Source organism: Homo sapiens, chromosome 7, assembly GCF_000001405.40.
Source record: "Homo sapiens chromosome 7, GRCh38.p14 Primary Assembly".
Lineage (NCBI taxonomy): Eukaryota > Metazoa > Chordata > Mammalia > Primates > Hominidae > Homo > Homo sapiens.
The window spans coordinates 96,640,520-96,654,984 of NC_000007.14; the positions used below are offsets into that span (position 1 = coordinate 96,640,520).

Below are 14,465 nucleotides of genomic sequence, written 5' to 3' on the forward strand. Positions count from 1 at the left end.
AGCCAAAGCTATGGAGACAGTGAAAACTTTAGTGGTTGGCAGGGGGTAGTGGGAGGGAGAGATGAATAGGTGGAGAACAGAGGATTTTTAGGGAAGTGAAAATACTCTGTAAGATACTATAATGGTGGACACATGTCATTATACATCTCCAAACTCACGGAATGTAGGGCACCAGGAGTGAACCCTAATGGAAACTATGAGCTTTGGATGATGATGTGTTACTGGAAGTTCATTAGCTGTAACAAATGTACCACTCTGTGGGGATGCTATAAATGAGGGAGGCTATGCATGTGTCGGGGGAGGAGGAGGAGAGACCCCTACCATGGGGTTTCTCTGTGTGTTCATTTCAGTTTTGCTGTTAACCTAACACTGCTCTAAAAAATATGGTTTCTTTACAAAAAACTTAGAGTAATCTCACACTTGAAGGTTTGAGAAGACTCACTCAGAACTTCTAAGACCAGCATTTCTTACCAGTAAACTTTTTTAAATATTATGTTTTTCTATGGTTATCAAGTGTTCTACTTCTTAAGAAGTTATTTTTGATAACATACTTTCCTAAAAATTTTTCAATTTTTTCAATATTTTTAGGTAGTATTTTTTCTTTCCTTAAAAATAGGGAGCCGAAAAAAAATAAAAAATAAAAAATAAAAATAAATAAATCCACTTTATATCAAACACTATATTTACTTTCCCATTCATAGTTTTAGCTGTATTTATTCTCTCTTTTCTTTGAGAAGACTAGCTAGAGATTTATCTATTAGTTTTTTTCTTCAAACAATTTTCAGGCTTATTTTAATCCTACCATCTTTCTATTTTCTGATATAATTATTTTTGCTTTAATATTTGTGTATGCTTTTCTTAGAGTTACTTTATTTTACTTAACTTCTTGAGTTTAGTGCTTATTTAAATTATTTTAATTCTGTGTTCTTTAATAATGAAAGCATGGAAATGGAAATCTAGGAGCTTTTCCCTGAGCACAAGAATATACCCTTCTTTACATCTGTCTTCTCCAGTTTTTAGAGAAGGTACATTTTGTTTTAAATTCAACATGTACCTGTGCAAACACATTGTATAGTTTTCTTCTTGTCTAACTAAAATGCAGATTGTCTCTTTAAACAAACAAACAATCAAATAATTTAGCATGCCTCCTACCCCACTTCCTAGCCATGCCTGTTTTGGTAACATAATTTGGAGATTTAGGCAGACTATTGTCTTTAACGTTTAAGTTTTACATTACACATTTCCTATTTTCAGTAGTCCCCATCGAGCCTATTATAAGAAAACTTCCCTATTCTTGTGCTTTTTTTTAATGTTTATTAAGGTTTGAACAGATCTTTGAAGATTTTTTTTCCAAACAAAATTAATAGGTGGTATATTTTCTAAGCTCCTGAATACTCAAAAAAGTCCTATTTCCTTCACATGAGAAAGAAAGCATTGACGGAAATAATAATCTAAGTCACAGTAGCTTAACCTCAAAATGCTGAATTTGCACTGTCCAATATGGGTGGCATTAACCACATGGAGCTATTTAAATTAAAATTACTAAAATTAAGTAAAATGAAAATTCAGTCCACTGGTCACATTTCAAGGGTTCCATAGCTCAACAGGAGTAGTGGCTACCATATGGTACAGCACACATCTAGAACATTTTCATCATTGCAGAAAGTTTTATTGAACAGCAGTTCCTAGTCTACACATTGATCCACTGACTTGTAGATTACAGAGAAGAAGGTTGAAGACACCTGTTTTAAATTCCTTTATAGAATAACCAGATATTCTACCTAGAGTTTATAGAATTTTAAATTTTCAGGTTGTAATTATGTAGATTTTAGTTTAGAATATCAGTCTGCATATGGGAAATATTCTGAGCTCAGGAAAACTTACTTCAATTACATCCTCAAAAATTGCTTTATTTTTCTCCAGGTACGGTAGCGTTTATCTTGGTTTGAGTTTCTGTTTTCTGTCTCCCTCTTTTTTTTTCTCATAGTTTCACCTTTGTTTCTTTTTTTAAACTCTCCAGGAAAAGTTATCAAATTAGTCCTTTGCATCTTTGAGTTTATTTCCTAGGCACCAAGCTATGATTTTTTTTCTGTAATAATAGTAGGATATTAATCCTACTAAATAATTATTTCTCATCAGATTCATCTACTTGTATATCTGATCCTGCTGTCACTTTTTGTCTTTCTCTCTTTTCTCCTTATTACTTTTAACTGTTTTGTAGAAGCCATTTTTTTTTCATTTTTACTGGAAATTCTAAACAACTTTTTGAATTTTTTCCTCAGGATTCTACAATTGGTCATTTTCAGTTATAAGCAGTCTCCTTTCTTCCAAGTCCTCAGCATGACTACTTCTTGTCCCTAATTTTACATTATGTTTCTATGGGCCCTAATTTGGACTTTTAAATTTAGTTATCTTTTTTTCATTTTTTAAAATTTAACTTTTATTTTAAGTTCAGAGGTACAAGAGCAGGTTTGTTACATAGGTAAACTTGTGTCATAGGGGTTTATTGTCCAGATTATTTCATCACCCATGGATTAAGCCTAGTACCCATTAGTTATTTTTCCTGATACTCTCTCTCCTCCCACCATCCAACCTCCAATAGGTCCCAGTGTGTGTTGTTCCCACATATGTGTCCATGTGTTCTCATCATTTCACTCCAGGTTATAAGTGAGAACGTGCAGTATTTGGTTTTCTGTTGCTGCTTTAGTTTGCTAAAGATAATGGCCTCCAGCTCCATCCATGTTCCTGCAAAGGGCATGATCTCATTCTTTTGTATGGCTGCATGGTATTCCATGGTGTATACGTACCATATTTTCTTTATTTTTATTTATTTTTAATTTTTTATTATACTTTAAGTTCTGGGGTACATGTACAGAACATGCAGTTTTGTTACATAGGTATACACATGCCATGGTGGTTTGCTACACCCATCAACCTGTCATCTACATTAGGTATTTCTCCTAATGCTATAAAGACACATGCACACGTATGTTTACTGCGGCACTATTCACAATAGAAAAGACTTGGAACCAACCCAAATGTCCATTAATGATAGACTGGCTAAAGAAAATGTGACACATATACACCATGGAATACTATGCAGCCATAAAAAAGGACGAGTTCACATCCTTTGCAGGGACATGGATGAAGCTGGAAACCATAATTCTCAGCAAACTAACACAAGAACAGAAAACCAAACACCGCATGTTCTCACTCATAAATGGGAGTTGAACAATGAGAACACATGGACACAGGGAGAGGAACATCACACACCAGGGCCTGTCAGGGGGTGGGGGGTTAGTGGAGGGATAGCATTAAATTTAGTTATCTTTAAGTAAGATAAGAATAATAAAGAGGTTGTGTTTGAAAATAAAGGATTTTGTTTTGCCCACTTTCTTCTCCTTATTAACTGCAAATATTTAAATCTCCATCTAGAAGCCTGAGTGGAGCCTGCCCCAAGCCCATTCCCAACTTTTCACAGTCTATGTCCCCACCATCACTTTGTAACAACTTTACCTCCAAGGATGTAACTTGCCATTAGGTGTAACCCTTTACTGGCTTGTTCTGGCTTGTTCTCTGGGGCTTGCTTTACTGGCTTGTTCTCTGGGGTTTGCTCCTCTAAATGACGTGGAAGGATGAAAGGCAGTTTAGACATGCTCAGAAAGCCTCCAAAAGCAGCAACTGTGTGGTGGAGGTGGGATTCCATAATTTTTTGTTGGAGCAAGTTCTGGTTCTCTGGGTTATGAGCTGTTTCATGAAGCAAAGTTTGGGAATGCAAACAATCAGAAGTTTGGATTATCTTGACCAAGTTCTATCAGCCTTGTAGATTCCAAAGAGTGCTCCCAGATTCTGGCAATAGATCTTCTGTAAGGTTTGGTTTCCTGTCTTGCTATTTTTATGTATTTTTCTGTCTTCATAGCATTAAAGGGGGAAGGTGGAAGAGGCTACCTCATGACAGTCAACTGCAAGAGGTCAGGTCTCCTCCTGCTCAGGATAACTGTAAAATGTGCTGGGAATATAACATTCTGAAATAAGGAGGGACTGTTCAGAACAGCCCGGGCTCTGTTCCTATCTATTCTAAACAGGATTTTCTGCAAAGCTTTAGCTCTGTGCACCCAGTTTCCCCCAAGGTATAAAACCCAGGGCAGAATGCTTTCAGGGTCCCTCAGTTGCAGTGTGACGTGGAGCACTCACAGACAAGACTCTGTTCATCCTGGACAGCTTTCCTGAAAGTTGGGCACCAGCCCACCTTAATGCTAGGTTTCTATTATCCATCTTCTCCTCTGTGTGTAATAGATAAGAAGATCGATTAACTTGTGTGAGTATTCTGTCTCACCAGACTCATTCAAGTAGAGTGACAGGTGCATGGTGAACCTGCTTCACACCAGTCAGATTCCAAGAGTTTTTTAAATCAGATTCCAAGAGTTTTTATATACTATTTATCTTATATTGAGGTTTTTATTATAAAATGAGTACATTTATAACATAGAAAATATATTTTAAGAAATGTAATAACCATTATTAAGCCTTTCTGGTACATATTCTTTCTGTTTTTCTTAATGCCATCTTTATACTTTTTATCATACAGATGTTAGACTATATGAGAATTGTCCCTGTGTTTAAAAATAGACAACAGGATTTAGATATTCATTCATTCATTCAATGATCAATAAGTTAATATTTAAGCATTTGTTCGTTCGTAAACTGCCAGGCCATGTTAGGTGGCAGAGATTGAGAATGGGAAGGTTTTTGCCCTCAGGGAGTTCAAGGTCTGGCAGGGAAGAGGGATGGGTCAATAAGTAAATACTGTATAATGGAATATGGTTGCTACTGTAGAGGTAGGTTCAGGGAACATTAGAAACAGGAAAGCGGGCACAAACCCCAGACAAAGTAGGTCAGGGAAGTATTTCCAAGGAGGAAAAACTTGGACTGGGTCTTTAACAATGACTAAGTGCTCCTCAGGTAGACAAGTTGGGTGTTGGGGGCAGGATGGGAAGGAAGTATGTTCCAATAAAAGAGGACAGCTTATATAAAGCATGAAAGAGAGACCGGAGCATGCTCAAAGAACTGCAAAGAGTGTTCCATGACTGGAGCACAGGGAGTGGGCACACTCTTGAGAGCTTAAGTTTATATACCATACACAGTAGTTTTATTTTCAATCTTGAAGCCACATGGAGCCCCGATGAGTTTAAGAGAGGGAGTACCTTCTCAGCTGTAACTTTACATGACCCATGCCGGATAGATGGATGGATGGATTAGAGGCAGTTGAGGAGGAGTGACTAATAGGAGAACTAGGGGTGATGCTTCTGTAGTTCTCGTGTGAGTTAATGAAGGCCTGGACTCTGGGAATGGAGGTGGGCATCTTCTCAGTCTTGCAGAATGCCATCTTTTATGGGTAGAGATGATGCTGTGTCTACCTTCCACAAGAAGAAAATATATTCCATGAATATTTAGTCATGTATAGTTTCTTTCATACATTATGTTTCACTGATTCATCATGTCTTTCCCATTCTCCATTGTCCCAGATATATATCCCTCCCTATTCCTTTGAGAGTACCTCTTTCCTAAGATGTACTTCTCCATGGTCTGTACCAGGGGTCAGCAAACTATAGCCTGCATGACAAATCCAGCCTGCAGCCTTTTTTCTTTTTTGTAAATAAAGTTTTATTAGAACATAACCCAGCCCATTCACTTACCTAATATGTCTATGGCTACTTTTTATTACAATGGTAAAGTTGAGTAGTTTCAAAAGAGATCATATGTGGCCCACAAAGCCTGAAATATTTACTATCTGGTCATTTACAGAACAACTTTGCTGACCTCTTAACTACTTAGTTTATCCAAATCTTGCTCATTCCTAAAAGTCCAGCTCAAAGTTTCTCTTATGTTCTGGGACCACAGTGATGTTTCTCTTTCCTCTGAATTGGTAGTTATTACTGTTTGGGTCACATATTATTTTAGTTATCCTATATATTGTCTTGAGTTTTTTTCTCTTCCAAAAGCTTAGATTTTTAAATATACAAACTATACATGTAAGATTTTTTGGAAACAGGGACCAGATATGCTGGCTGTCTATAATATGCAAGGCATAGTTCTCTGGATTCCTCAGTGAAGTTGTTTGCCCACTCCCACTCCCACTCCCACCTCCGACTGCCATCCTCTCCCCAGGTGATATGTGCAACACAACTTTAAGATACTTGCACACAATGGTGATATATACTTGAGAGATAGCTATGTGAGATTAAAGATACAATTGGATCCCCATGTAAGAGTCACAGAGTTTATTTCTTTCTTTGTTAATAGCTTCTGAGAGGGTGAATTAGCAGATATCTATAAAGGGCTAATGCTCACTAGTATCATTACTCTTCAAAAATCAATTGCCTAGGTCAATCCTCCAGCCTTCATTGGTTTTGAAGGAATGTTTGCTCCTTTCAAACTACAGTTAGATATTAAATATATCCACATATTAAGCATTGAGAAAAGCTGGAGAAGTGTGTAAATACTCTAAGCATATGTGTTTTATGGTGCAAATATTGAGAAGTTTACAAAGCAGTAATATGTTTCGGTCTCTGGTGTGCTCTGCAGCCACCTCCCTAACTCTGTTTCCATGTTCTCTCAGTCAAGTTTACTTATGAACTAAACGGTATTCTACTAGGGAGGTGAGGTATAGCACTGCATGCTCTCTTTACGTGAGAGATGGTATTGCCAAGTGGTACAGGACTCAGGGTCTGGAGTCAAATCAAATAGATGCTAACTCAGAGGGCAGTTGTGACAATTCCATGAGATCATGCATGTCATATAGTGCTTGGAATATATAAGCAATCAATAAATCTTAGCTATAATTATTATTCTTATCATATTATGAGACAAGTACTTTTCTCTTAGAAAATATATCCAGCAAATAGTTACGTATGGTTTCTTTGAGACATGGATATAATGGGCTACTTGAAAGGATGCTAGCGATCCGGTATCCTAAATATCTCATCAGTGAGAACATGGCCGTTTTCTTTTGGATGGTGCCCTAGAAGATAGCAAATAAGAGCTCTTACTCTGAAACCAGTTGAATACAAAAGCCTCTTGCAGGGACTCTAATCACTATTTTATCTTAAATAATAAAAACATTAAAGACAAGGAAAAATAACCTTCCAGAACTGATATTACATCCCATGAACACATTGTAATTGTATTTCTTTTCTTTTGCATAAAACAACAAGTCTTATGTTAATATAGCCAAAGACAACCTGAAATGTGCAATCTGTGCAGAAACAGAATTGCAAATGTTTGATCAGGAGAGCAGGAAGCTCACGTTCTGCTACTCCACTCCCAAAATAGAAAACCTATTTAGCACTTTGTAAAACACGCTAAATGAAGTTTGCTCTCTCCTGCAGATAGAGATTTTACTTCATTTTGTGCCAGTGAAATTTTTGAAAATTACATGAGGAGAGAGCAATTTTTGGCACTTTGGCTAGGAGTACAAAATGTTAGCAAATGGTGCTGAAAGGATCTTAAGTGTAATGTTGGAATAATATTCACACAACACTGGCTGCATCTTCGTTTTTAACCTATTTACATATTCACAGGGAAAAATGCTTAGCAGTTATTTGTCTAAAGGGGCCTATTTAAGGGGAAAATGGCATTCACAATTTTTGAATACATTAGTCAAGAAGGTTGCTGTGAATAACAATTCATAAAGAAAAATATCATTTCAACTATCATAGAAGGAGTAGCAGGATATAGGTGGAGAAATTTTGGACATCAATGTTAGTTCTGGACATAGAAAGAAAAGGAGGAAAAGAAGGGAGTGAGAAACATAATACATACCAGAAATTTCCACAGTGTAAGTGGACACAGAAAGAGCCACTAAACAAAGCTGAAAAAACTGACAGAATTTCCCGAGTTCTAACATGACTTTTAATTTCTGACCACTTGCTATGTACAGAAATGGAAGTATCCATCTTAAAAAGGGAATATCCTTTCATTCAAAATGTATTTAACAGCTATCTTCTGTATCTGTGGCACAACCATAGAAACTGTGGCATATAGAAATCGCTATATATTTTTTGCCCACAAGGAACTTGCAGTCAAGTTAGAGAGAGAATACTGTAGTCAAGAGACACCGAATAGGTATTTAGGAGGTATAGAGCCGAAGCACCAACCTCTGGGTATAGGTTGGCTTCTACAGAAGGAATTTTGGATGGATACTTGTGAAAATAAGTGAAAGAAGAAGGACTGAGCAGAAACCAAACTGCAATTTTTTGCAAGTCAGTTTTTTTTGCAGACGATTGCATATCAAACTGCAGTGCAGCCCTGACAAAGCCTCGGCCACTCACCTAGGGGTGGGGCGTGGTGCTGAAGCATATATCAGCTGTCTGAGCTTTCTCACATTGGGCCAAAACGGCCCAATGTTTTTTTCCCCTGCCTGGATCAGTCACTGGATGTGAACCACCCTGAGGAGGTGTGACGTCCAATAAGGTCGCTTTCTGCGACAGAGGTGGAGCCTCCCTGAGCTGAGGACTGGGGACTCTGTTGAAAGTCCCCCTCGCTATTGGGTGCAGCACATCACTGAAGATGCTCTGGGTGGCACAGCTTTGTGTCTACCCTAATTCATTTGTAAAGCTTTTTGAGAACTGCAAATTAAAGCATCCATTAATGAAGGTGAATGGAAATTCAGCAGATAGATCTAGCAATGAACTTTTATTAAACCAATATGTACAGATGGTTTAATACAGAGATCATTCATAAACCAATGTGTTTTACTACTGTGTTTTATCAGTACATCCTGTGTGTTTTCTATAGCCCACTAGTTCCATAAAATATTGATAATTTTTCTCCAAAAAAATATTCTGTGGTGAAAAAATTTGGAGAGGGTAGAAAATTAAGGTAATTTTTCTGAGGTACAACAAAATATCTAGGAAATTAAGATAATTTTTCTGAGGTACAACAAAATATCTAGCCGGTCCAATCCTTTGGACTTTAAGACAGCTAATCTTGACCAACACTGAAGACAGCCAACTTGGTGCTATAGAAGGGCCCCTATCCTTTTCAACTATACCCCAAGCCATCAATAAGCTGCTACTTCCAACAATATATGAAGTCATGGAACACATATGTGTATGTAGACAGCAACAAGACTTCTGCAGATCACTTCTGTGCCAGTATCCCATTGTCATCTGGTCCCAGTGTTTACTTGTCAAGAAGAGTCTGATTTAATTGAAGTTGAACCAAGCCCTGCTCCCATGTTCTTCCACATTGTGTCCTTTCATCCCCACAAACACCCTGTGTAATAAATATTATTATTTCCCATTTTTAGATGAGGAAACCAAGAGTGAGAGAGGTTTAGAGATCTCCCTAAAAAATGTTGCATTTTTGGTAAACAGCCGATTAGACTTGAACATAGGTCTGTGACTTTAAATCCATTGTTCTTCCCACTCTCCATCTGATCCATCATCCTAACACCGTCCATCAGTATATCCCATGTGTTTTCTGTAGCCCACTAGTTCCATGAAATATTAGTAATGTTTCCCAAAAAAGGGTTCTGTGGTCAAACAAATTTGGAAATCACTAAGCTAAACAAAGTTAAACAGAGTTTCTTTTCAACACAGGAAGTCTCAGAACATGTTCATGCTAATATGCCTTAAGAAGCTATAAATAGCTCAAAGGCAGAGGTTTCCATAACTGACTTGACCACAAAAATATTTTTTCCTATGGGCATCTTGAAAAACTAAGGATCAACAGAACAAACTATGGGAAATTCCGCTGCACAAGACTTGAAACAATCCCTCTCCTTCAGCTAGATGTCAGAAAAGTCCTCTTTGTCTTGTGAGTTGATGAGAAGACAGGATTTCATCTCTGAAAGGGAACAGGTTCCAGCCTCCTGGGCATGTTCTCCAGGCAGTAGATGGGCACCTCGCCCAATGTGTCCTTCATCTGACTTGATGGTACCAAGCCACTGCAGGAGACACAGCCATTTAGGGAGACAGCTCAGGGCTTTTTCTCACAGCTTTAGCATGAAAGGAGAGAAAGATAAGAAATTCTGAAGAAACACAGATTTGTAAATAACAACAACAACACTGTAGGTCCCTAAAAGACATTACTTAGAATTTAAATGAAACCCCCCAAGTTCCAAATTTAAACACAAACACACAGAAACACACACAGATGCGCGCACACACACACACACACTCAGAGCTCCAAAACTCTCACCATGTAAAAGTGGCCCAACAGCAACAATCCTTTACAAAATATATAAATTTCTCTCTTTTTTAAATATCTTTAGACAGTGACCTTTTCATGTGTATCAGGTTAATTTCATCTGTGCAATCTGATAGCAATTGCTTCCCAGAGCTAGTCTGGTTTTCAGTTTGCCAATGGTGTTTTCAGGTGTGGAGATCTGTGATTTACATTTCCATCTGACTGTTGTCTTTGGACATCTGTGCCTCTGGGTTACTAGGACTAAGAGGAAAGCAGTTACTCATGGAGAAAAATGAAGGGTGGGTAGGATGAATAACAGCAAAGTCAGTAGTCTAAGACACCACAGACTCCATGTTCTCCAGAAGAACAGCTTTGAACTGCACGTGGGTGGCAAGTCAAGGATTGGTTCTTATTAGTATTGCCATAAATTCCCTAAACTTTGTAGGAAATGTCACCTCTTGTGGCCAGTGGTAATAAATTAGGGATCAAGAGAGCTTAAAATTCCATGTTGGAAAAGGTGTTAGGCTCTTCCTTCAAGATTCCAATTAAAAACACTCTTTTAAATCATGATTTCCCTTATCTTATTAAAATTGTAGAAGATATTTTTCAAAGATAACTATTAATACTTAAAATAAATTAGGAGACAATATGTGAGGAAGTTTTTCTGGAATATCCAAACTATCAAATGCAATTCACGTTAGGTAGACTCAAGAAAAAAAAAATCCAAAGGCAGAGTCAAGAACTAGGACAGAGTCAAAGGCAGCATCTCTATTCATAGGTAAAAGGCATGTGTGATCATCAGGACTGAAGAAGAAGCTTCAACCCACAGGGCTGATAAAGAGCAAGATGGCAAAAGGATTTTGTTTGTTTGTTTGTTTTGAGACAGAGTCTTGCTCTGTCACCCAGGCTGGAGTGCAGTGGCGTGATCTCAGCTTACTGCAACTTCCACCTCCTGGGTTCAAGCAATTCTCCTGCCTCAACTTCCCAAGTAGCTGGGATTACAGGCATGCACCACCACACCCAGCTAATGTTTATATTTTTTAGTAGAGACGGGGATTCACCATGTTGGCCAGGCTGGTCTCGAACTCCTGACCTCAAGTGATCCGCCTGCCTTGGCCTCCCAAAGTACTGGGATTACAGACATGAGTCACCACACCTGGCTGCAAAAGGGTTTTAAGATGCAAAAACATGGGTCAAAAATTGCACTGGCCTCAAGTCTGGAAATTACTTTATTCAGAGGCTTTAGAGCAGAGCAGATGGCCCTCAGTTTGAATATTTAACATGTTGCCACTTGTCATTGTAATTCATACCTCTTCCCATCTCTTTGAACTTTTATTTCCCATTGCTTTGGATAGCATGTAAAATTGAGGTAATAATGTTGTCTGAAAAGATAAAAATGTCTCTTCATCTGCAGGATTCATTTAAATGCAATTGAATCATGAAGAATTTAATAAAATTAAATGCACACTCAAGTCAAGTGAACACTTTATATTGAAATAATATTTATTGCTTTATTTTATTGTTTTATTTGTGTTTACTGGCTATTTGTATTTCTTCTGTTGTATATTGCCTGTTCATGTCTGTTGCCCATTTGTTAAATGAGAGTGTGTTTTTCCCACTAATTCTACATTAAGGATGCAAATTATTTGAATTCTATATATATTGTACATATTTTGGTAAACTAGTTTGGGCATATTTAGGATATGATAAAGTATCTTCTCTTCTTTGTAAAAAATTGAGGGAAATCATAGAAAAATAATCACCAACACAAAAAGAATAGAGAAAATTTATTTATCTAGTATCAAGATATATGCTACATAAATGATCCAATCCATTATTTGGATTATTTTAATTTTTATGGTCACCAAATATTAATTTTTGAAACTTTGAAGGCATAATAGATTTTAGGTATAATACTATTTAAAACCCCAAAGAAATCTAAGCTACTTTAGGAAAACTTTCTTTTTCATCTTCAGTTATGTTTCCCAAAGAATGAAGTACAGTTTTTCCCAATTTGTACTCAAATTATTTGAATGTGAAATGAAAAGTTAATTGTGTGAATTAAAACACACACTCATATCGTTAATCACTCAAGCATGCATTGAAGAGTCTGTGAACGGAATAAAAATGATCCCCCTTTTCTTTGTTTCCACTTTTTTTGTAGTTTTGACAGAACCATTAATGTTGACACACTAGCACAATCTGTTGGATTTTCTAGTAGCTACAGCACCATGGTTTTGGAGATTCCTCAATTCTAATAACAATAATGGTGGACAGGGTTAATGTGCCAAGCACTAAGCTACATGCTTTTCATGCATGACCTAATACAACAATTCTATGGTGGCAGGTACTATGATCTCCATTTTACATATGTGCAAAATGTAGGCACCAGAGATGTAAATAGTCATTTGATCAAAGTCACACAATAGTAAATGGTAAGGCCATGATTCCCACCCAGGCCTCACTGTCTCCAGGAGCCATGTGCAGACAACTGTGGTACACTGCCTGTCAAAACACAGAACAAAACAAAAAAAGGCAGATATCAGATTCAGCTGTTTAAAAAATGGAAGGTAGATTCCTAATAGGAAAAAATGGAGGAAATCTGACTGTTTTCTAGATCTGACTTATTTAACAAATTGCTCACCTACTTATTGGGATCTACAGAGATAATTGCCTAGCTCTTGAGTTCAGACTCTAACAGGGAACCAGACACATAAACAAATAAACATTATTTACTTTTCCAGGCAGGAGGCAATTAAGGTGATTTCAGCTAAGGGTGGTAAGAGAGGTGGGACAGAAGTAATTGTTGTAGCCAGGACCCAGCAATGGGAAGAGGAATGGCATCAGGAGGGCAAATGGACTTACTTTAGAGAAGAGTCGTGATAGTTGATAACAACCTGTACAGATTAAGTTCATTAAGTCCAATAATGCCACGTACTATGCTAAGAATCAACTTTCTCATTTATTCCTCCCAATAACTAATCTATATCATTATTACCTTTGCATTACAGATGAGGAAACTGAGATGAGTTACCTAATCTTCCCGAAGTCAGCTTGCTAGTAAGCGTTGGAACAAGGCAGGAATGCAAGCCATCCTCCACCTAACAACACAGTCCTCTCTTTTTCTTCTGAAAGAGGATAAAATGAAGTAGTGGCAAACGACAGAGAAATGTTTGTCTGTTGGGGGGCCGGGGAATTATACTTAATAGTGTCTATTTCTTTATGCAATTGGAAGCTAGGCCATCTGCCCCAAATGAGGGAATATGATTGAGGGGGAGACTTACAGAGAGTTGTAAACATTCATATCCAGCTAGAAGCTGAACAGAGAAGAGTATGTTTAAATGGTTTGCAGAGCAATGATGAGAGTGCACTTAAGGAAGGAAGCCCTATATTTGTAATGGAGGGCACATTCACAGTTATTCAATGTTGTGCAAACAATGACATTTGGGCAAGAAGTACTCATACTAGAGTTCACTAGGGAAAATTCATGGATACAGAAGACATAGGTCTCCACCTTTCACTTAATTCTACAACATGAGAGTCCAGGCCAAGTTTCAGATTTGAGTAGAAAGAGCTGAACTTAGGGCTGTGGAGTTGTGAAGCTTCCCCAATAGAAAGTGTCATCCCTCTCCTAGTATAATCAAGGACTGGGATACAAATGTCATAAACAGATGGTCTCCAACTTATGATGGTTCAACTTATGGTTTTCCAGCATTATGATGGTGTGAAAGCTGTAGGCATTCATAGAAACCATACTTTGAATTTTGAATTTTGATCTTTTCTAGAGCTAGCAAGGACTCTTTTACAATGCTGGGCAGCAGCAGTGAGCCACAGCACCCATCAGCCATGCCATCAGGAGGGTGAGCAAATGCTACTCTACCAGTGAGTTGCCAGATAATTTTTGCCCATCTGTAGGCTAATATAACTGTTCTGTGCACACTTAAGGTAGGGTAGGCTAAGCTTTGATGTTTGGTAGGTAAGATGTATTAAATGCATTTTTTATTTGAGGTATTTTCAGCTTATTATATATTTGTAGGGACACAAGCCCATTGTAAATTGAGATCTGTAGTGTGATGGAACCTCAATGCAAGATTTCCCGCCAACTCAAGGCTCATGACTGGGAGTCAGCAGCTTCTTTCCTGGTGTGATCTGGATTTGAGGTCCACAATTCGCAGTCACAGGTGTATGATGTCGCAAGCTCTCTGCAGCACTCACCACAGTAGTGTTCATTATTGTGAAGCACCGTCCCCTCCCTTGGCAGTATAGGGAGAGGC

At 37.8% G+C, this 14,465-nt stretch overlaps 1 protein-coding gene across 16 annotated transcripts in view; it reads right to left on the reverse strand.

Moving 5' to 3' along the window:
* Positions 1–14,465, reverse strand: part of SEM1 (SEM1 26S proteasome subunit) — a 228,221-nt gene that overhangs the window by 158,894 nt on the left and 54,862 nt on the right. For 3 of the 16 annotated variants that reach the window (XR_007060160.1, XR_007060161.1, XR_007060159.1), the window contains one exon: positions 4,434–13,319. The exons of 7 other annotated variants lie outside the window; for them this stretch is intronic. Coding sequence is in view for 4 of the 9 variants with exons in the window: in NM_001393898.1 (NP_001380827.1) it covers positions 5,221–5,413 (193 nt within the window). In the remaining 5 variants the exon portion in view is untranslated. Of the gene's footprint in view, positions 1–4,433; positions 13,320–14,465 lie in introns of those variants that run through there. 6 more of the 16 variants (NM_001393905.1, NM_001393900.1, NR_038948.2 and 3 more) reach the window with 5 other exon arrangements.